This window comes from Homo sapiens, chromosome 1 (assembly GCF_000001405.40).
Source record: "Homo sapiens chromosome 1, GRCh38.p14 Primary Assembly".
NCBI classification, from domain to species: domain Eukaryota; kingdom Metazoa; phylum Chordata; class Mammalia; order Primates; family Hominidae; genus Homo; species Homo sapiens.
The window spans coordinates 81,237,865-81,261,851 of NC_000001.11; the positions used below are offsets into that span (position 1 = coordinate 81,237,865).

General features: G+C 39.5%; 1 pseudogene, besides 4 other annotated features; it reads left to right on the forward strand.

Moving 5' to 3' along the window:
- Positions 6,578–7,483: an enhancer, noted in NCBI's record as "OCT4-NANOG-H3K27ac hESC enhancer chr1:81710127-81711032 (GRCh37/hg19 assembly coordinates)". NCBI's record gives its function as "activates a minimal SCP1, AML or CMV promoter by ChIP-STARR-seq in naive and primed H9 embryonic stem cells {active_cell/tissue: H9 hESC(naive and primed)}" and the evidence as "EXISTENCE:reporter gene assay evidence [ECO:0000049][PMID:30033119]".
- Positions 7,484–8,387: an enhancer, noted in NCBI's record as "OCT4-NANOG-H3K27ac-H3K4me1 hESC enhancer chr1:81711033-81711936 (GRCh37/hg19 assembly coordinates)". NCBI's record gives its function as "activates a minimal SCP1, AML or CMV promoter by ChIP-STARR-seq in naive and primed H9 embryonic stem cells {active_cell/tissue: H9 hESC(naive and primed)}" and the evidence as "EXISTENCE:reporter gene assay evidence [ECO:0000049][PMID:30033119]".
- Positions 12,005–12,909: an enhancer, noted in NCBI's record as "OCT4-NANOG-H3K27ac hESC enhancer chr1:81715554-81716458 (GRCh37/hg19 assembly coordinates)". NCBI's record gives its function as "activates a minimal SCP1, AML or CMV promoter by ChIP-STARR-seq in naive H9 embryonic stem cells {active_cell/tissue: H9 hESC(naive)}" and the evidence as "EXISTENCE:reporter gene assay evidence [ECO:0000049][PMID:30033119]".
- Positions 12,910–13,812: an enhancer, noted in NCBI's record as "OCT4-NANOG-H3K27ac hESC enhancer chr1:81716459-81717361 (GRCh37/hg19 assembly coordinates)". NCBI's record gives its function as "activates a minimal SCP1, AML or CMV promoter by ChIP-STARR-seq in naive and primed H9 embryonic stem cells {active_cell/tissue: H9 hESC(naive and primed)}" and the evidence as "EXISTENCE:reporter gene assay evidence [ECO:0000049][PMID:30033119]".
- Positions 13,925–14,232, forward strand: RN7SKP247 (RN7SK pseudogene 247; annotated as a pseudogene).

The window sequence follows — 23,987 nt, forward strand, 5'->3', positions numbered from 1 at the left end:
CATAAATGATCTCAGGTATGCTTGGCATCTGACTGGAAAATTAAAGTTTTAAAAGTTAATGCTACAAGCAGTTGAGAATAGCAGCTGCAGTGAGAACTCGGCTGTTACAGAGAAGGTGGAATTAATCAGACAAACACAAACTCACCTTGATTGACGAAGCTAGCATATTTAGTTTGGTTTCGTTTTACATTTGTTTTTGTTTTTCTTTCATTTTTCCTCTAACAGCCTATCTGAATTCTTATTTAAAATGTCACTGGGAGATTTCTTCTGGGACTGCTACTACTGATACTAAAATTAAAAAACAAAACAACAACAACAACGAAACCAGCAAACGCAGAATCTTTTTGTGGTTTGAGAACTCTGCTTTGCAGAAACTCAAAATTCTAAACTCTCTTTGAAAAAAGAAAAAAATGTACTAACAGGATTGATCTCTCTCTCTCTCTCTCCCCCTCTCTCTCTAACTTTCTCCCCCACTCCCTCCTTCAGCTCCCCCATTTCCCCTTCCTTCATGTTTACTTTCATTAGTATGCAATGGTACCTTTTAATGGGATAGCGTGGAAATAAGCAAAGCTTGAAAGGGCTTTCTTAAGTATATTTTCACTTTAAATGCTTAAGTGGCAATCTTTTTCCAGTGAACAATGAGCCTGCTGGTCTGCTATTTAGCAGCTTAGATTTAGATCCAAACTTTTCTTTTGCACTGTTACATATTGATTCTCCCTTTATCCCTTTTTCTGTTTCTCTGTGGTTTAGTTTTCTGTCTTTGAGTTCTTCTATTTCAGTTTGTGTGTATATAAACATGCTCATGCTTTGTTCTCTTTTTCAGTGATGGGCAGCCAGCTTCAAAGCCATAGAATGCTACATTTTGAAGAATATTTCAGTTATTGCTACATTTTTCTTTTATTGTGAATACAAAGGGTATCAAGCTGCCCCTACGATTTGCTAAATATCTCAGTGCAGTCTCAATTTGCTGTCATTTAGTTCTTTCTTCACTGAATCCAACTTTTACTATTAACCTATTTGGAAAAGAGCCAGAAAGGAGAGAAAGAGGGACTGCCCTGCACTTCAGTTGTTTAAAACTAACACCTCTGCCCTAGTGTGGAAGAATCTAATTTTCTCTGTGAATCTCAACTACACAAGAGGCAAGTTAGCACCTTTAACACTAAGGAATCGCTCAAACTGCTTTTGCTGACAGTCTGAGTGATTGAATCATTTACCCTACAAAACAAAACTGATAAACAAATCTACATATTTTAAGTGGGTGTAAAAGAAGTCTATAGTTTGGGAAAACAAACTGAACTTTTGGGGGTGGGGAAGTTAATTTGCCATGTAGGATGCTATCACATCAAAACAGACTATGCTTTTAAATTTTTTCTCTCAGATCCAAGCCTATCATTCCATGCAGAGAGCGTGGCTTTGGCTGTCTGAGATTCTGAAAATTCTGTTTGTGAAGCAATGAACAGTGTCAAATTCTTTGTTCAACATTCTGAACAGCAAGTCTCACACTGTAAATTCTGTTTTTCTGGTTTCTAAATCCTGAGTGGTTGCATGCAATATACATGTGGATGGAGATTAGAAAGATTCCGTCTGCATAAGTTCTTACTCTTTGTAAGGCGTGTGCTTTTTTCAGTGAGTGTGACCCAAGTATATCCATGCTCATTTTTTTTTTCTGATGAGTGAGTTAAATTGTTTGATTTACATTTTATCAAATACACTTTCAACATGTACCTTCTCCAAAACTCTAACACTGCATCTCATTCTGCTTTAGATTTGGTATATTCTAGATCACAATATAGCCAAAAAAAGATTATGTATTCATTACCAAAATAAACTGAACAAAAGACAAGAATAGATAAATGAATGTGTAAGAGAGAAAAATAACGCATTTTATCTTTCAATTTTATGTCTTCACTGCTAAGGTTGTTTTCCAATAAGGTGGATCTCTCACTTATTCTATCATCCTCCTTTCTCATACACTTTAGTCTTCAGTTCATTTTCTTTCCATATTCCAGCTCATATGCAAAAATATCGATGGCAAGAATTCTATATAGCTATACTGCCATATTTATAATTCAAAATCTTGTCAATTCTAGTCACTGATTCAGCTGCTTAGGCTGAAAAATAATGTATAATATTCTTAAAATTTTCTGCATGGTGATTGCAACTTTAGAGAAAGCTGCATTCAGCAGACAACCAACAGAAAAAGTTGGCTTAAGATTTTTAAATTCACTAAGTTATAAATGCACAATCATAAACAGGTAAGTCAGGACAAATATAAAATCAACCTGAAGTATGAAACCAAATATCTAAAAATAATATAAATATTTTGTCTCTATTTGTACAAATTATTTACTCAGTCCCTTTTTAAGTAGACTTTATTTTTTAAAGCAATTTTATGTTTACAGCAAAATTGAACAGAAAGTGCAGAAAGTTTCCATATGCCTCACTGTCCACAAACATCAACAGCCTGCACTGAAGTGGCACCTTTGTTACAACATACCTTTTTATTTGTTAGTGAAAAGAGATGACTCTCAAGTGTTGAATCCTTTAACACTATGGGTCAAAAATCCCATTTTTAGCTTAAGTCTCAAGTCTTGCTAGAATGCATTATTTCAAGAGACAAGTCATCTTTCAGTGCTGCTAAATACATAATACTAAATTAGTTACCGAAAACATACTGTGTTCAGTGTATAACACAGAAGGGATGCTAAAAGTAACAACTCAGAGAAGGTGTCAACAGAAGCACTAGTTGATTTGTAGATGTAAATTGGCAAATGCCTCACCAGGGGTAAATGCTGGAGATACAGTACAGCCATCATTGAGACTTCTCCTCCCTCTACTCTTGGCAGTAGTTCCTACTTACAGGTAGACAAAATTCCAGACGTACTCATTTCAACATTCAAGCCCTGCTTCCTCAATCTGCTTCCTAGTGAGACTATTGAAATTGAAGCGCTACAGAGAAAATAGAACTTGTCATTTCAAAAGTCTTATAATGAATTAAACTGTTTTTTAAGCCAAACAAATCCTAATATTCTAGTGCAAGAAAATACAAAGAGACTTAAGAGCAGACTAAATTATCTAAAAGAGATGCTAATTAGGAATAATAAATGCTTGAATAGCCTAGGCTTTTTTGGGCTATCATAAGATTATAAACATGCGATTCTGTAAAGTCAAATGATGGATCTTTCTAGTAGTAATTCCATTATGAATACCAATTCTGAGTATTAAATGCAGCGTGCTGCAGGCGCTTGCTAAGCTCATGAATCAGTAAGATTTCTTTCCTATTTGGCCATCCAGCTCTTGAATAGTAAATACAAAAGCCTTAAAAACCTGGGTTCCACAAGACTTCATTGTATTGGAGACAGATGTATTTCTTTTAATGAATCAGGACTACGAGTATTGATTCTATCAAAGAGTTCTGGGAACATTAACAGAAAAGAGATTTCTTATGACATCATGTCCCTCAACATAATATTTATGTATAATCCATGTGGACCATGTATATTTTATACAATTATTGATGAGAAAAGGGACCCCTTTAAGCCTTTACTCATTAAATGATGTTTCTCCACCATCCTCTTATCTTGCTGCTCTGAGGCTTCTCTAAGTGGTTGCTGGTGGTGATCTACTCTGCCTTTCTCTGCAAGCAACTTCTCTGCTTCAAGAATTCTTCCCAAAGCCAGTTCTTATTGTGATTGCCTCGTTGCTTTTGCCCGTATAGCCCTCGGCATCCTACCCCCACAAACTATTTACAAATAATTGTTCTTTAAGAGTCAGTTAAGCATTCACCATGCTCCTGCTTTGCAGGAAAATTGGCAGTAAAGTAGAAAAGCTGATGCCATCATCAAATATTATAACACACTTCTGAATGGAGTTTTCAATTTCAAGGCCAACAATATATAGCTAAGAATAAGTTGTTACTTTTTGTACTTCTTGAAACTACTTTATCATTGCTCAATATTTATTGAGCACTAGTGTTATTGGAGTCAATTTTATAACAATTTATTTCTATCCATTTTTCTCTTAATCATTTTTTTAATTTTGGATAGGAACATTTACATTTCAACCCTGACACACAAAAATTACTTTATAAATATTTGGTGTGTGGGTGCATGAGGAAAAGGTTTCCTTTCGGCATTTGTGGTTTTCTCTTCACAAATAAAATATTTAATGAAATAAGGGTGGAGCAGCATGACCAAATTCATATGCACAACATATTTGCGTGTTGCTATTCCTTTAAGCATTGAATAATTTTTTTTCTTCCAGTGTTTACAAAACAGTAACAGGTTTTTTTTTTATCTTGGCATAATGTTGTCAAACAATAAAAGAGTGTGGAAAAGAAAAGGGGAGCCTTTTTTCATAGTGGTGATCTGACAGAAGAAGGGATTGGTGGTTTCAATCTGTGTGCTACTCGATTGAAGGCAGACAGTTACTTAGGGAACATTACGTGTGGTTTGAATGGCTAAGAATAGATGTGTTCAAAGCACAGATATCAATGTCTTAAAAGCCACTCCTGGGATAGACAACAGCTTCTTCTTTAAGCCACTTAATTTTTTGTCTGGAAATTAATATTTCATTATTCCTTGGAGCACTTGACATGGTCTTTATGGTTTGAAGATGTGCAGCAACCACCATGCAACCTAATATTAAGTTGTGTCTTCAAAACCCATAGAGAGAAGGTGCTGGAACTAAATGCTTTGGCACATGACTAAAGTAATTAACTATGGTAGACAGATTTAATGCTATAATGGTTTATTTTAACCAAGAGCAAAAGTAGGGAGGGACAGGGCAGGAGAAAGGATGGCTGCAGTCAGAAAGTTAAAAATTAAATAAATAAATGTCAGTGTTGCCTATGTCAGGAACAGCGGCTCCCTGCTACTTTCTGAACTATCATGTTCAAAGATGTTGATTTAGGCTCCTGCTGGTAAACATGCTTTTTTATAACCTCAACTCATCCATATTTCACACAAGAGACTTCATAAAAGAGACAGATTTATAATTTTCTGTCACTGAATTCAAGATTACCAATTATTTCTTTATTGAAATTTTTGCATCCTTTACTAGAACAGGTATTCATAGCTTTATAGACCTTTTCTTTTTTTCTCAGTCACTCAATTTAGATTTATGAAGCCTAAGAGTTTTCTCCTGCAGCAACTCGCAAAAACATTCTACTTCAAATACGCAGTGCCTCAATCAATGTAATTATTTCCAGGAACAAGCCACAAGTTTTAGAATTTATATGCTTTAATAATTCTATATTCTTGGAATGTGTAATGATTATGCATGAATGAAAAATAAGGATTTTTGAGGACAAAATATATGGGAATATTTAAAGTTCACTTTGTAGATTAATTGGACATTCCTATTTAAAATTTTAACTTTTCTCTGTGTACCATTCAAGATTTAAAACTTTCCAAATTATTTCAATAGCATGCTTTCAGAACACTAATTATATTGAAGCATGAAGAAATGGCAGAGAATTTCAACCCAAATATTACGCAGTAGAACTGCAAAAATTAGGATAGGAAAGTCTAGGAAATGTGTGTTATCTTTTGACCCCAAGAGCTTAGGGACAGGGACTTCAAAGGTATAAATGACATGTCATATTATCTATAGGTGCTACACTCTATCATGTTGATGTAGTTTAATTTCTATGGTAGTTCTTATATGGTGGAATTTGTAGCGGTGTTAGAAAAATATGATCAGACAAATTTCCTGTATAATAGTCTGAGAAATGGCTAGAACATAGAGAAAAACGACTTAACATATGACCTGAAGAAGCTGGCGTTTCTTAGAAGGTTAAGAATGATCCTCTTCAGCCTGAAGAGATAAGTAGGGATCCCAAAGGAAGAGAGACACAGGGTTAACCCAAACTTTGACTTTTGAAGATTGCAAAAGAGAGTAATTAGTTCCAAGTAGACACAGCACCTCTCTCAGCAGGGCACATGGGCCAACAAGCAGAGTGGAGGCTGGATGTCATCCCTCCAGCCACCAGGAGCACTGTGCCAGCACCCCCATGTGGAGCCATTTCATGCCACTCCTGCCTAGGTCTCAAGAAGCTCAGTAGGAAGGGCAGGTATAGAAAGTGAGACCCATACTCCTCCTTTTTTCAAACACTACTCCTGTTTCCCTACACACACCTTGACTATGAACTCATCACTCAGAATGGTAATATTCAAAATTTGCTGAATAAATAAATAAAATAGGAACAGGTCACTATAAAAGCTAAAGAGGCACATGTAACTCTCAGAATGGAGGAATATTCAGATTTAATTCTATCTGTCTAGCTAAAGATTGCTTGCATAGTGTCTGTTCATATCCTTCACCTACTTTTTGATGGGGTTGTTCGTTTTTTCTTGTAAATTTAAGTTCCTTGTAGATTCTGGATATTAGCTCTTTGTCAGATGGATAGATTGGAAAAAATTTCTCCCATTCTGTAGGTTGCCTGTTCACTCTGATAATAGTTTCTTTTGCTGTGCAGAAGCTCTTTAGTTTAATTAGATCCCATTTATGTGGCCAACAAACATATGAAAAACAGCTCATCATCACTGGTCATTAGAGAAATGCAAATCAAAACCACAATGAGATACCATCCCATACCAGTTAGAATAGTGATCATTAAAAAGTCAGAAAACAACAGATGCTGGAAGGGATGTGGAGAAATAGGAATGCTTTTACACTATTGGTGGGAGTGTAAATTAGTTCAACCTTTGTGGAAGACAGTATGGCAATTCCTCAAGGATCTACAACCAGGAATACCATTTGACCCAGTAATCCCATTACTGGGTACATACCCAAAGGATTATAAATCACTCTACTATAAAGACACATGCCACGTATGTTTATTGCAGCACTATTCACAATAGCAAAGACTTGGAACCAACCCAAATGCCCATCAATGATAGACTGGATAAAGAAAATGTGGCACATATACACCATGGAATAATATGCAGCCATAAAAAAGGATGAGTTCACGTCCTTTGCAGGGACATGGATGAAGCTGAAAACCATCATTCTCAGAAACTAACACAGGAACAGAAAACCAAACACTGCATGTTCTCACTCATAAGTGGGCATTGAACAATGAGAAAACATGGACACAGGGAGAGGAACGTCACACACTGGGGCCTGCTGGAGGGTAGGAGGCTAGGGGAGGGATAGCATTAGGATAAATACCTAATGTAGATGACGGGTTGATGGATGCACCAACCACCATGGCACATGTATACATATATAACAAACCTGCACATTCTGCACATGAATCCCAGAACTTAGAGTATAATAATAAAAAAAAGATTGTATATACTAAACATAAATGTTTATAGTTTATGTCAATAGCACTTGACACTTTCACTTTCAAGATTTTCATGTTGATCCTCACTACAGCCCAGTATGATAGACCAAGCCAGATATTTTCATACTGTCAGGCCTCTGAGCCCAAGCCAAGCCATCGCATCCCCTGTGACTTGCAGGTATACACCCAGATGGCCTGAAGTAACTGAAGAATCACAAAAGAAGTGAAAAGGCCCTGCCCCACCTTAACTGATGACATTCCACCACAAAAGAAGTGTAAATGGCCGGTCCTTGCCTTAAGTGCTGACATTACCTTGTGAAAGTCCTTTTCCTGGCTCATCCTGGCTCAAAAAGCACCCCCACTGAGCACTTTGTGACCCCCACTCCTGCCCGCCAGAGAACAAACGTCCTTTGACTGTAATTTTCCTTTACCTACCCAAATCCTATAAAGTGGCCCCACCCTTATCTCCCTTCACTGACTCTCTTTTCGGACTCAGCCCGCCTGCACCCAGGTGAAATAAATAGCCATGTTGTTCACACAAAGCCTGTTTGGTGGTCTCTTCACACGGGCGTGCATGAAATTTGGTGCCATGACTTGGCTCCGGGGACCTCCCTTGGGAGATCAATCCCCTGTCCTCCTGTTCTTTGCTCCATGAGAAAGATCCACCTACAACCTCAGGTCCTCAGACCGACCAGCCAAAGAAACATCTCACCAATTTCAAATCTGGTAAGCAGCCTCTTTTTACTCTCTTCAACCTCCCTCATTATCCCTCAACCTCTTTCTCCTTTCAATCTTGGTGCCACACTTCAATCTCTCCCTTCTCTTAATTTCAATTCATTTCATTTTATGGTAGAGACAAAGGAGACACGTTTTATCCATGGACCCAAATCTCCGGTGCCAGTCACGGACTGGGAAGGCAGCCTTCCCTTGGTGTTAATCATTGCAGGGATGCCTCTCTGATTATTCCCCCACATTTCAAGGTGTCAGACCACGCAGGGACTCCTGCCTTGGTCCTTCACCCTTAGCGGCAAGTCCCACTTTTCTGGGGAAGGGGCAAGTACCCCAACCCCTTCTCTCCTTGTCTCTACCCCTTCTCTGCTTTTCTGGGGGAGGGGCAAGTACCCCTCAACCCCTGCTCCTTCACCCTTTGCGGCAAGTCCTGCTTTTCTATGGGGCAAGAACCCCCAATCCCTTATTTCTGCACCTCAACCTCTTATCTCTGCACCCCAATCCCTTATTTCCACACCCCAACCTCGTATCTCTGTGCCCCAATCCCTTATTTCCACGCCCCAAACTCTTATATCTCTGAGCCCCAATCCCTTATTTCTGTGCCGCAACCTCTTATATCTCTGTGCCCCAATCCCTTATTTCTGTGCCCCGACCTCTTATTTCTGTGCCCCATCCCTTATTTCCATGCCCCGACCTCTTATCTCTGTGCCCCAACCCCTTTTACCACTTTTCTGGAAGGTAAGAACCCCCGAACCCCTTCCCTCCATTTCTCTACTCTCTTTTCTCTAGGCTTGCTTCCTTCACTATGGGCAACCTTCCACCCTCCATTCCTCCTTCTACTCCCTTGGCCTGTGTTCTCAAAAACTTAAAACCTCTTCAACTCACACCTGACCTAAAACCTAAATGCCTTATTTTCTACTGCAATGCCGCTTGATTCCAATACAAACTCCACAGTAGTTCCAAATAGCCAGAAAATGGCACTTTGAATTTTTCCATCCTGCAAGATCTAAATAATTCTGGTCGTAAAATAGGCAAACGGTCTGAGGTGCCTGACGTCCAGGCATTCTTTTACACATCAGTCTCCCTTCCTAGTCTCTGTGCCCCGTGCAACTCGTCCCACATCTTCCTTCTTTCCCTCCCACCTGTCCTCTTAGTACCAACCACAAGCGTCGCTGAGTCTTTCTAATCTTCCTTTTCTACAGACCCATCTGACCTCTCCCCTCCTCCCCAGGCTGCTCCTCGCCAGGCCAAGCTATGTCCCAATTCTTCCTCAGCCTCTGCTCCTCCACCCTGTAATCTTTTTATCACCTCCCCTCCTCACACCTGGTCTGGCTTACAGTTTCGTTCCGTGACCAGCCCTCCCCCTCCTGCCCAGCAATTTACTCTTAAAAAGGTGGCTGGAGCTAAAGGCATAGTCAAGGTTAATGCTCCTTTTTCTTTATCCCAAATCAGATAGCGTTTAGGCTCTTTTTCATCAAATATAAAAACCCAGCCCAGTTCATGGCTCGTTCGGCAGCAACCCTGAGACACTTTACAGCCCTAGTCCCTAAAAGGTCAAAAGGCCGTCTTATTCTTAAAATACATTTTATTACCCAATCTGCTCCTGACATTAAATAGAACTCCAAAAATTAAATTCCAGCCCTCAAACCCCACAACAGAATTTAATTAACCTCGCCTTCAAGGTGTACAATAATAGAAAAATGTTGCAATTCCTTGCCTCCACTGTGAGACAAACCCCAGCCACATCTCCAGCACACAAGAACTTCCAAACGCCTGAACCGCAGCGGCCAGGAGTTCCTCCAGAACCTCCTCCCACAGGAGCTTGCTACACATGCCGGAAATCTGGCCACTGGGCCAAGGAATGCCCGCAGCCCAGGATTCCTCCTAAGCCACGTCCCATCTGTGTGGGACCCCACTGAAAATCGGACTGTTCAACTCACCTGGCAGCCATTCCCAGAGCCCCTGGAACTCTGGCCCAAGGCTCTCTGACTGACTCCTTCCCAGATCTTCTCGGCTTAGCGGCTGAAGACTGACACTGCCCGATCGCCTCGGAAGCCCCGTAGACCATCACGGACGCCGAGCTTCGGGTAACTCTCACAGTGGAAGGTAAACCCGTCCCCTTCTTAATCAATACGGAGCCTACCCACTCCACATTACCTTCTTTTCAAGGGCCTGTTTCCCTTGCCTCGATAACTATTGTAGGTATTGACGGCCAGGCTTCTAAACCTCTTAAAACTCCCCAACTCTGGTTCCAACTTACACAATACTCTTTTAAGCACTCCTTTTAGTTACCCCCACCTGCCCAGTTCCCTTATTAGGCTGAGACACTTTAACTAAATTATCTGCTTCCCTGACTGTTCCTGTATTACAGCCACATCTCATTGCCGCCCTTCTCCCCAACCCAAAGCCTCCTTCGCGTCTTCCTCTCCTATCCCCCGACCTTAACCCACAAGTATGGGACATCTCTACTCCTTCCCTGGCAACCGATCACATGCCCATTACCATCCCATTAAAACCTAATCACCCTTACCCCGCTCAGTGCCAATGTCCCATCCCACAGCATGCTTTAAAAGGATTAAAGCCTGTTATCACTCGCCTGCTACAGCATGGGCTTCTAAAACCTATAGACTCTCCTTACAATTCCCCCATTTTACCTGTCCAAAAACCGGACAAGTCTTACAGATTAGTTCAGGATCTGCATCTTATCAACCAAATTGTTTTGCCTATCCACCCCGTGGTGCCAAACCCATATACTCTCCTATCCTCAATACCTGCCTCTGCAACCCATTATTCTGTTCTAGATCTCAAACATGCTTTCTTTCCTATTCGTTTGCACCCTTCATCCCAGCCTCTCTTCGCTTTCACTTGGACTGACCCTGACACCCATCAAGCTCAGCAAATTACCTAGGCTGTACTGCTGCAAAGCTTCACAGACAGCCCCCATTACTTCAATCAAGCCCAAATTTCATCCTCATCTGTTACCTATCTCGGCATAATTCTCATAAAAACACACGTGCTCTCCCTGCCAATCGTGTCCGACTGATCTCTCAAACCCCAGCACCTTCTACAAAACAACAACTCCTTTCCTTCCTAGGCATGGTTAGCACGGTCAGAATTCTTACTGAAGAGCCAGGACCACACCCTGTAGCCTTTCTGTCCAAACAACTTGACCTTACTGTTTTAGCCTAGCCCTCATGTCTGCATGCAGCTGCTGCTGCTGCTTTAATACTTTTAGAGGCCCTCAAAATCACAAACTATGCTCAACTTACTCTCTACAGTTCTCATAACTTCCAAAATCTATTTTCTTCCTCATACCTGACGCATATACTTTCGGCTTCCTGGCTCCTTCAGCTATACTCACTCTTTGTTGAGTCTCCCACAATTACCATTGTTCCTAGCCCAGACTTCAATCCGGCCTCCCACATTATTCCTGATACCACACGTGACCCCCATGACTGTATCTCTCTGATCCACCTGAGATTCACCCCATTTCCCCAAATTTCCTTCTTTCCTGATCCTCACCCTGATCACTCTTGATTTATTGATGGCGGTTCCACCAGGCCTAATCGCCACACACCAGCAAAGGCAGGCTATGCTATAGTACAAGCCACTAGCCCGCCTCTCAGAACCTCTCATTTCCTTTCCATCGTGGAAATCTATCCTCAAAGAAATAACTTCTCAGTGTTCCATCTGCTATTCTATCTGCTATTCTACTACTCCTCAGGGATTATTCAGGCCCCCTCCCTTCCCTACACATCAAGCTTGAGGATTTGCCCCCACCCAGGACTGGCAAATTAGCTTTACTCAGCATGCCCTGAGTCAGATAACTAAAATACCTCTTAGTCTAGGTAGATACTTTCACTGGATAGGTAGAGGCCTTTCCTACAGGGTCTGAGAAGGCCACCGAAGTCATTTCTTCCCTTCTGTCAGACATAATTCCTCAGTTTAGCCTTCCCACCTCAATACAGTCTGATAACAGACGAGCCTTTATTAGTCAAATCAGCCAAGCAGTTTTTCAGGCTCTTAGTATTCAGTGAAACCTTTATAACCCTTACGGTCCTCCGTCTTCAAGAAAAGTAGAATGGACTAAAGGTCTTTTAAAAACATACCTCACCAAGCTCAGCTACCAACTTAAAAAGGACTGGACAATACTTTTACCACTTTCCTTTCTCAGAATTCAGGCCTGTCCTTGGAATGCTACAAGGTACAGCCCATTTACGCTCCTGTGTAGACATTCCTTTTTATTAGGCCCCAGTCTCATTCCAGACACCAGATCAACTTAGATTGTGCCCCCAAAAAACTTGTCATCCCTACTATCTTCTGTCTAGTCATACTCCTATTCACCATTCTCAACTACTCATACATGCCCTGCTCTTGTTTACACTGCCGGTTTACACTGTTTCTCCAAGCCATCACAGCTGATATCTCCTGGTGCTATCCCCAAACTGCCACTCTTAACTCTTGAAATAAATAAATAATCTTTGCTGGCAGGACTATGCTGAATCTCCTTAGGCACTCTCTAATCAGATATCCTGAGTCGTCTCAATTCTTAGACTTTTTATACCTGTTTTTCTCCTTCTGTTATTCCATTTAGTTTCTCAATTCATCCAAAACTGTATCCAGGCCATCACCAATCATTCTATACGACAAATGTTTCTTCTAACATCCCCAGAATATCACCCCTTTCCACAAGACCTCCCTTCAGCTTAATCTCTCCCACTCTAGGTTCCCACGCTGCCCCTAATCCCGCTTGAAGCAGCCCTGAGAAACATCACCCATTCTCTCTCCATACCACCCCTCAAAAATTTTCGCCACCCCAACACTTCAACACTATTTTGTTTTATTTTTCTTATTAATATAAGAAGGCAGGCATGTCAGGCCTCTGAGCCCAAGCCAAGCCATCGCATCCCCTGTGACTTGCAGGTATACGCCCAGATGGCCTGAAGTAACTGAAGAATCACAAAAGAAGTGAAAAGGCCCTGCCCCACCTTAACTGATGACATTCCACCACAAAAGAAGTGTAAATGGCCGGTCCTTGCCTTAAGTGCTGACATTACCTTGTGAAAGTCCTTTTCCTGGCTCATCCTGGCTCAAAAAGCACCCCCACTGAGCACTTTGTGACCTCCACTCCTGCCCGCCAGAGAACAAACGTCCTTTGACTGTAATTTTCCTTTACCTACCCAAATCCTATAAAGTGGCCCCACCCTTATCTCCCTTCACTGAATCTCTTTTTGGACTCAGCCCGCCTGCACCCAGGTGAAATAAACAGCCATGTTGTTCACACAAAGCCTGTTTGGTGGTCTCTTCACACAGACGTGCATGAAAATACAAATTTTAGAAATTAACGAACAATAGTTCAGAGAGGTTAAGTGGCTTGTTTAAAATTACACAGGTAGTTACATAGGACCATAAGCAGAACTCACCTTCTGAGTGCAAAAGGGAGACAGAAAGTACTGTTGAGACTCAAATGAGAGAAATGACATATCTGGGATATGGAGATTGTATTAAATGATTGTTTTTCTTTGAGAAGATTTTTTGGGATGATTATTTCCAACTTTTGCTGAATATTGATGGATAGCAGAACTCATGGAAAATATGGAGAGGTTTTCCATAGCTGGGTGAAATTTTTTTCTGGTTTTCTTTATCTTTCAGGTATTTTCAGAAAATGCAGCAACTCAGATTAATTTTCTCATGTTTTTCAGTTAGTGCTGTTTGTGAGTGTGTGTGTATGTATGTGTGTGAGGGTGTATGAGTCATTTGATATTGGATGCAAGAGTTACGGCAACCCATTCAAGGAGGTCCAGAAGGGTATACAAGGACAATGATTTAAAAATTGATTTTTTGTATGTGAAAATCGAGGATAGGTAAGTATTCATTGAGCACTCTTCAAAAAATCAAAAACCAGAAGTGAAGGTGATCTGGCTGCGACATGTCAACCCATTGATCACCAAGTTTGATTCGGATTGATGTGGCTGGCTAGGCGGGCATCCCTTTCCTCCCTACCACTTCCCATGCATCCCTCCTGAAGCTGCATGTTTGGTCAAAGAGGATGACCTCCCCTGATAGAGGAAGACCATTATTCCTGTCAAGAGTAGCTTTGCTCCCCTGCAAGAACCTGCAAACAGCTCAAAAAAAAAAAAAAAAAAAAAAACCCAAAACCAATAAAAGTCTATAATGTAAAGGACTCCAGGTTAAGTAATTTCATTTCTCTTGTCTTTGTCTAAAATTGTAAAAATTACCTGAAAATCCTAGGTTAGCTGAGGTGGTCATTAAGACTCCATATTTTGTTAAGATGTCATGAAATGCAAATGGTACGCATTTTTGAGATTTTTCAAGTAGTATAAGAATTGTAAACATTCTGTTTTATGAGTGATGTAAGTGTATTATATGTAATGTTGAACAGGTCACATTGCCAATGAGTTGAAATTGTGCAATTCTGAGTTTCTATTTATCGTCAAGAGTATATTGTTTTTATATTTTAAAAATATAAATATAACAAAGTACAGTATCAGAGGCCCTTTATAGTCAGATTTAATGGTGCAAACACTGAGTTGCTACAATGCCAAAAATACAGTATAATATAAAGGTAACAATATAGAAAACCAGAGCAAGAAAGTACATTTTATGTAAAATATTTTGACTCACAGTATCCTAAAGAGGGTAAAAATAAATGCTAGACTGTAACCTTCACCTGCTTGTGTTTATAAACATACCAACAGTAAGATCTGGGATTCACAAAGCCCATCTTCATCCATTTATTTTCCATCAATGTGTCTGTCCTTTAAATGATACATTGAAAAGAAGAGAGTCATACAATCAGTGAAGTTTTCAGGATTGATTTAGATAGAAACAAAATGAAGTAAACTCATATTTTCTAATTGTGAGCCACACCATATTGTATTCTAGTTTCTCTTGATGCATTGATTTGTATCCCTTGTTAGTATGGGATCCATTTCTAAAAAACAGTTTTGCAACTACTTTTAAAGCCCAGAAATCCCACATCTCAATTTGCATCTGTTTTAGTGGCTTAAGAATATGCAGCAATTTTTAAGCACTGTTGAAATGAAGCTCATAAGAATGTAAAATGAACAATGAATGAGAAATCTGGGTAGTAAGAGTTTAAAATGTCAATAGATTAAGCCCTTCTTGGTTTCTAATGCTACATTTTCAGATTTCTTTTTGAGAAGAAATCTCCTTTTACTTTATTTGTTTCCCTTTTTTCATAAGATTGAAGAAATCCTCCCAAGATTTTCCAAGCTCTTTTTGGGGGCTTTCCATAATGACAGCTGCAGGCTGTTGCTTCAGGTGACTGTGAAATCTTCTTCATAGAAGTCAGTTGAAATTATGCTCGTAGTAATCGTATTGAATTTACCCTGAAAATAGAACAAATAAATATGGATAGGATCAATTTTTACATTCAATTAAATATTTGCATTTTATTCAAGTAATTAACATGAGGATGAAAATTATCTTGTGAAGCACATTATACACATTTCTATAGCATGCGTTACTTTACCGGAGTTAAAATATTACCATTATGCCTGATAGCACATGTGGAAGCAAATCCTAGGAATGAAGCATTTATAGTAAACATCCATATGTTTTAGTAAACACAATTGCAGGCTTTCCAGAGTAAGCAAATGTGTGAATTCTTTAAATGATACTAAAGAATTAAAATAGTCCCACTTTTCATATGCCAAAAGGAAAAAAAAAATAACACTATGTCACATACTTTGAGATTGTAACAAAATCATAACGATGAAAATAGTAACAAGCACTTTTTGGGTTTGATACATATATTTCATATGTAACCATGATACTAAGCTTACGATTGAAGCTCTATTTTCCTCTTATTTTATAGAAGGCTTGCCTTAGACAAGTAGGCAATTCAGCAATTTGGGGGCGATAGATGTGGTAGAACTTAAGATGCAGTCTTAAAGACCTGGTCAATTCTAGTAATAGCTAACCCTCACATAGTATGTACCATGTTGAGGCACTGGGCACTTTTCTAAGTACTTTCCATATACTAACTCTTATAATCTACCTCATTTGGTTGATTCCATTATTGTCTTCATTTTACTGATGAGGAAACTGAGACACAGAGTGATAAAATAAGTTGCCAAAGGTCACACGGCTAGTAGAGAGCAGCAGAGATTCAAATGCAGACATTCTAGCTCTGCAGTCTGCTTAATGAGCCTTCATCTTAGATGAAAGTTCCGCAGCTTAAATGGCTCAAAGCTGACCTGACTGATCTAATTAAATGATTCTGATAATTCTGATTCTCAAAGCCTTAACTTGTAAATAGTCAAACAAATTAGATGTCACATGAATCTTTTTGCTTTGCCTCCCTTTCTGCAGTACCTGTAGTACACTGGGATTTCTAGTGGCGCTAACAGTGGTGGCACTGCACCCCTCTCTGATATAGGGACTTCATTGTCCTGAGACCATTTACATTTTCAGAACTTCATGATCACATGACTTTGGAGAAAAATTTTTAGCCTTTATTAAAAAAAGTTTTCTTTGGGTGTAGCTGCCCCCTAGGTAAAGTATATACATTTATGATACCTGTTATGTTGTCTTTTAAAAGAGACATTGTTGTGGGGGAAAAGCGGTATATGAAAACATTACTATAAATAGTAATGCAAATACTTCCATGAAAAAGTCATAGGAATGATCTCTGATTAATCAAATAAAGTGAACTATACAGACTTGACTGCTTCCTAATATCCTCCCAGAGTCCTTCAAGACAGCAGCATTCCCAGGCTACAAATCAGGAGGCTCAGGAATCAGGCAGCAATTCAGGAACATACCAGCAGGGCTCCAGCAATGCCTGTTCCAACCACATGACCAACACAGTTAGGACATGGACTATTTCCTAACCCTCAACCCGATAAGACCCAGGCTCGTGGAGCATCACAAAACCAACCAATTCTGGTATTGTTGCACTTCATTTTACATAAGTGTGGCTACATTTATTCACAGTTGTGTGAAGAGAACCTCCTAGGTTTCTTGCAAGTCTTAGATAAAGTAAGGGGCCAAAAGAAAGAAAATGGCCTTTTTAATATGAATGACCAGGTGTCCTAAAACTTACCAACAGAGCCCAATCCTTTTGTCCCTGGGCTGGGTTTCACCTATAACATTCAACTTATGATTTCAGAAATGCATTTTACAACTAGCCTCACATCTCCTAGCACTGGTTCCTAACATAATTGCTTCTAAGAACCTCAAAATTTATCTTTTTCATTGAAGTTCTGTAATACCTTGAGCACTTTTTAGACTTATTAAAATATGATACTAACTTTAGAAAAAAACTACCCAATTTTTACCACAAAGAGCGATGTTTCACCAACAAATATGTGAGCCCCACATTAGAATAACACTAAGTGACATATTTAATTCTGTATCACTTTACAACTATTGACTCATGCACCAAGCTGAGTTAACATTGTGTGCCCTGTTTAAAACCTTGCCCACATTTTGGGGGATTTCTAGTTAATGAAACCACTGCTTAGAGATAAACATTGGGATTTCCTATCAGCATCCCTTTCTACCCTTATACTGACATTAGTGACCAAGCCGGTTGTCAGGGGTAGGAGGGGAAGAGGGCAAGCACTGTATTTGACAATCCAGGGGAGCAGAGAATAAGGAGAAATAATTGTAGGCAAAAATCATGGTCCAGTTTCCTTTCCAAGAGGACTTAGGAGAGCTGTGGGAGTTAGAGGAAAAACTGGGCTTGGCAATAAGAAGAGTCAAGGCAATCTGGAACCCTCTTTGCCATCTTGGACCTTTTCCCTCATCTCTACCCTCCTGGTCCCATTTTGAAATTCATTGTTATATCGTAAGTGCCTAATAAAAAGTGAAAGTATTGTGGAAATGTTAATAATAATGTCTTTATGTACTAGGACTCAGGGATAAACAATCTCTGTTTCCATTTCTTTGTTTTCTTTCCCTCCTTCTTTGCACTTTCCCAGACTCTCCTTACCTTGCCTGGCATTTTTTCATCTTGGCACTGCATTTCTTCACAGATAGTTGTTCACAATCCTTCCATTCTTAGGGCAAATATGGTTCCCAGATTAGCATCACAATCTCCTGAGTACTTGATGTATGTTTTTTTTTCAGACAAGACTTCTGATCATCAAAAATAATCTTGCTATTGGGTAGTGTATTTGTCCGTTCTCATCCTGCTAATAAAGACATACCTGAGACTGCGTAATTTATAAAGAAAAAAGGTTTAATGGACTCACAGTTTCACATGGCTGGTGAAGCCTCACAGTCATGGCGGAAAGTGAAAGAGGAGCAAAGTCATGTCTAACATGGTGGCAGGCAAAGGAGGGTGTGCAGGGGAACTGCCCTTTATAAAACGGTCAGGTCTTGTGAGATTTATTCACTGTCACAAGAACAGCACAGGAAAACCCACTCCCATGATTCAGTTACCTCACACCTGGTCCCACCCACAACACATGGGGATTATGGGAGCTACATTTCAAGATGAGATTTGGGTGGGGACACAGCCAAACCACATCAGGTAATTTGTATGAAAATAAGCTGGCAGTTATCAGATAATTGCCACATCTGTCAAAATTAATTGTAGTCTCTTTTGCTTAAACAGGGAGAAAATAACCTTTCAAGTCAGTGTGTAACTAGGATATACTTAAAGATTCATTTAGCCTTAACCATTTATATCTCTAGAAGTAAATGGCTTTTACTCCACTTAAAAAGATAAATTCTTAATGCAAAGTTTCATCTTTGGTCATTAGCACAGTCTCTCATATGAAAGAAGTCTCTGTAATTAGTCTTATTGCATATAATGGAAAGACACTCTACAATTCATGTTTTTCTACACCAGATCAATTCTTTATTCTTTACATCCAAAAGTGATACTTTTGATAACAAGGTTCAACCTGTCAGTCTCACTAAAATTATTCTATTAGCATTGACAAGAATGATTTTTTTGGGGGGTGACAAAGTCAGGAAGGCTGGAGTGCAGTGGCACCATCCCAGGTCACTGCAATCCCCTTCTGGACCCAGGCCATTCTCCCACCTCAGCCTCCCCAGGAGCTGGGACTACAGGTGCATGGCACCATGCCTGGCTCATTTTTGTATTTTCTGTAGAGATGAGGTTTGAGCATGTTGCCCAGTCTGTTCTTGTACTCCTGGGCTCAAGAAATCTACCCGCCTCTGTCTCCCGAAGTGCTGGTATTACAGGCATGAGCTGCTGTGTCCAGCCCAACAAGAATGATTTTTAAATCATCTATTATTCCAATCTTTCCACCATAAATACTGGCTAATATTTTTATTATCATCTTCTCATTGATATGTTTGTAAGGTACTTTAAACAGTCCCTGACTTGTCATAAAGTTCATTTATTCCATCACTGCTATCATCATCTGATTCAAGCATCACAATAGACGAATAAATTAGAAAATATTATGATCCCAATTTACAAATGAAAAAATTGAGGCTATGAAGTTAGGTAACTTGTCAATGATTAAACAGCTTGGGGCAGTCAAAACTTAATTGCAAACCTAGTTGACTCTAAATGAAGGAAATGGACGATTCCCCAAATTTTGAATGTCTTTCTATTATGCTGCCTGTACATCTGGTTAATTGCAGAAGAAAAAAAAAAAAATGAAAACTTATCAGTAATGTGCCTCCTGACAATGAGGAAAAATTAGAAGAAATGAATATTTGAATGTATACCAATAGCTTTTCAATTATTTGATCATATTATAGCAAAGACTCCATAATCTACCTATTCTACTTGATCACTTCTTCCAGTGGAAAAGGAATTCAGCAATAATGATAAAGTGTCACTGCTTAAGCAAGTTGAGGAATGAAGGAAGGAAATTATTTAGACATCTGTTTTAGCAATAGGGGGGATGGATAATTCATATTCAAATTTAGTACACTGGGATTCAATGCTTTGGGGATATTACAATCCAGAAATAATATTGGACCAAATATACATGGCTACAAACTGTAAGCTTAGTGATACATCCCATAAGAAAATAAAATGGTAATAATTAAGCTAAACTAAATTTATAATTAACAAGCAAGAATAACAGCAATTAAAATTCCTGGCCAACACAGACGTTTCTGATTCACTAGTAACAAATTGTCCTCCCCTAAAACTGAAGGAATATTGTCAAGCTTTGTCAAATACTTCTAGGTGCGAAACTGAATTAGTCTTCAGTATGCTCTAGCAGCTTGTTAATTTGGGTATATAAATAACAAATGTTAATATCCTAGGTTAATAGTAAAACAAAACAAAACGCTCTTAGTAGTTGGATGTGGTGGAGTGCCCCTGCAGCGCCATTTTCTAGGAAGACTGAGGCAGGGGAGGATCGCTTGAAGCCAGAAGTTCAAAGCTGTAATGCCCTATGATGGGTGCCTGTGAATAGCTACCACGCTCCAGCCTGGGCAACATACAAGACCCCATCTCTGAAGAAAAAAAAAAATGAAATCTTCGTTATAGATAAAGATAAGAATAAGATAAGTCAATGGAATAAAACCCAACTTTTCCTTAAGAATAAAGGGGAACGCCTGTACATTTGAATCAATTTGAGATTCTTCAGGGGATTGCTTAAAGCCCATTAACAGGCCACAGAACAATTTTTGAGAATCACTGCTATAGAAAATATCATGCTCATCTCAAAGGGAATAAAATCTATCTTAAGTATGTTGTTTACAATCAAAATTGTTTTTAATTTCTCAGAACTTGCAGACTTTATGGGGAACTCGAGAAGACAACATCTCTTTCTTACTCTGAGAAAATCTTCCCTGCACTGCAACTTCTTTCTTTCAACTTGGCATTCCTCATTTGGTAAAATGTCATCACCATTTACACAGCTAGTTATGCACCAATCCTCTCTCTCTCTCTTTTAATCCCACATCTCACATCCAATTCAAACACTGTCACCTATACCTACAAAAATACACCTCAAAGTCAGTCACTGGGAAGTTAGTCCACGTCCTTGTCTCCCCTGGGTTTATGCAATGGCTACCTGATTGGGCTTTCTATTTCCTCTTGTGCTTCCCTCCCCTCACTACTCTGCAGCATAATCTTTCCAGAATGAAAATCAGATCATAACACTTTGAATGTCTCAGCTGTCACTGGCTTCCCATGACACAGAAACTCAACATTCTTCACAGCCTGTCCACTAACTGCCTCTCAGCCTCCTCTCCCTCCCGTGCTCTCCTCCCGCCCTCAGGGTAGTCACCTGGCCTTCTTTGCTCTTTTGAGAACACATCAGAAATGTTCCCACCTCAAGGACTTTACACTTGGAATTTTCTTCCCCTGGAATGCTTTCCCCAGGAATATATACATGGCGGCTTGCATCTTTGCTGCATTTACGTCTTGTTCTTATGCCAGTTCCTCAGAGATCTCATCCCTAAACAGCGTATCCAAAATGCACATTCTGTCACTCTGCATTCCTCTACCCTTTGTGTTTTTCTGCCTCACACTTATCACTGTGTAGCACTATATTATAAGTTCAGTTGCTTAAATGTTTATTGGCTGTCTTCACCACTGCAATGTAAGTTCTATGAGACAGGAACTTTTATTTATTTCTGAATCCCCAGTCCCTATCAGAACTCCCAGCATGTAGATCATGTTCATAAATATTTCCTAAGTGAATGCATGTCTACATTTGCATCTACACTTAGGTCGTCATTGGGATCCATTTAGAGGACTGCCTAATGCTACAACGAGGTGGTCAGTTACTGGAGGGTATCTCTGGAATTCTTCTTACTCATTCGAAGTACACTTGATGCTTTCGTAGGCTTCCTAAGACTCAGTGACAGTATTCTGGTTTAGGCAAAAGCAGAAGAATGACAGGGTTGATCTCAATTTCTCCCACTCACAGCTGGCTGAACATTTAACATTCCATATTTAATCTCGTGTTCCTAAAAAAGAGTTATCTTCTCACAGTCTTCCCACCCTAGTCCCACTTTCAGAGAGATCTGAACCTTCAACCAAAGTGCCTGCTATTCATCATTCTACAACTATTGTAACCACACTCCGCCTCCTAATTTTGCACTCCCAGGGAAAAGAAAAAATGTTTAAGAGCTCAAAACTTTAACCAGCCTCTCCCTTTATTTCATACAACAGACTTCCTAGTTAGAAGGATTGCAAACTGGAACCTAATTATATTTTAAATGAACTAAATATATTGCCATAAGTTGAAAATTATTTAGAAGATATATCCTGGCAACGTCATGAAAATCTAATCACAATAAGAACTCTTTTAACTTTTCAAAATAGAAGAAGTTGAATTTTTTAGAAGGCGTAACTCAGTTATAATTTCAGTGAACATAGTGAATAATTAACATCAGACTATGATGTCATAATTGTGGGAAACATGAGGTAGAAAAAAAGAATATTTTGTATTTTTTATATTAGTGATAAAAATAATTATTATTATAATACTATGTGACAGGCAATGTTACAAGCACTTCATATGTAGAAATTGCTGCCTTCAACCCTAATCCAAGCAACATAAAATCTTACCTGGATTATTATAGTACTTCCTACCTGGTCTATCTGTTTCTGCCCTTCACCCCTTACAACCTATTTTCAGTACAACTGCTCAATTATGGTTAAAAAGATAGGATATGTCCTATCACTTTCTTGATCAACACCTTTGGATAGCTTTCCCTCTGTCTTACAATAAACTGCAAAGATCTAACCATGTCCTACCAGGCCCTCCATAAAGAAGCCCCGATGACCTCTCTCATAACACCTCCAACTTGCTCACACTGGTTTCCCTGCTGTTCTTTATACCTTACAGGCAGGCACAGTTCTTCTGCTGGGCCTTTGCACCTGATTTTTTTTTTTTTTTTTTTTTTTTTTTTTTTATACGGAGTCTCACTCTTTCGCCCAGGCTGTAGTGCAATGGCGCAATCTTGACTCACCGCAACCTCCGCCTCCCAGGTTCAAGAGATTCCCCTGCCTCAGCCTCCTCCCAAGTAGCTGGGATTACAGGTGCCCCCCAACACGCCAGGCTAATTTTTGTATTTTTAGTAGAGACGGAGTTTCGCCATGTTAGCCAGGCAGGTCTTGAACTCCCGACCTCAGGTGACCCACCTGCCTCGGCCTCCCAAAGTGCTGGGATTACCTGAGTGAGCCACCGCGCCCGGCCGGCACCTGATATTTCCTCTACCTGCAACACTTCCATCACATGTTTTCATGACTTCTTTCTTTCTTCCTTCAACCTCTCCTCAGATGTTGTCTTCTCAATGAAGCTTCTCTGACTACAAAATTTAAAATCGTAGCCCCCACCCCAACAGTCTGCTTTCCTCCATTTTCTTCCATAATAACACTTATCACCATCTGATAGATTATATATATTTACTCACCTCATTAGAATACAAGCTTCATGGAAGGCATTTTTGACTGTTTTGTTCACTGTTGCAATCCTAGTCCTCAGAACGTTGCCTGGTACATAAAAGCTGGTAAATATTTGTTTATTAAACAAGATACCAATCAAGCAGTGAGATAACATTACATATCTATCAGAATGACTAAAATCAAAAACACTGTCAACACCCAATACTGGTGAGAATGTGGAGCAACAGGAACTCTCATTCACAGCTATGGGAATGCAAACAGTACAGCCACTTTGGAAGACACTTCGGCACTTTCTTACAAAGCTACACATAATCCTACCATATGATCCAGCTATTACACTCCAAGAAATTTGCCCAAATGAGTTGAAAACTTATGTCCACACAAAACCCTGCACATAAATGTTTATAGCAGCTTTATTCATAATTGCTAAAAATTGGATGCAACCAAGATGTCCTTCAATAGGTGAGTGGACAAACAAATTGTAGGATATCTATGCAATGGAATACTATTCAGTGATAAAAAGAAATGAGCTAACAAGCCATGAAAAGACATAGAGGAAACTTAATATATATATATATATATATACACATATATATACACACACACATATATATACAC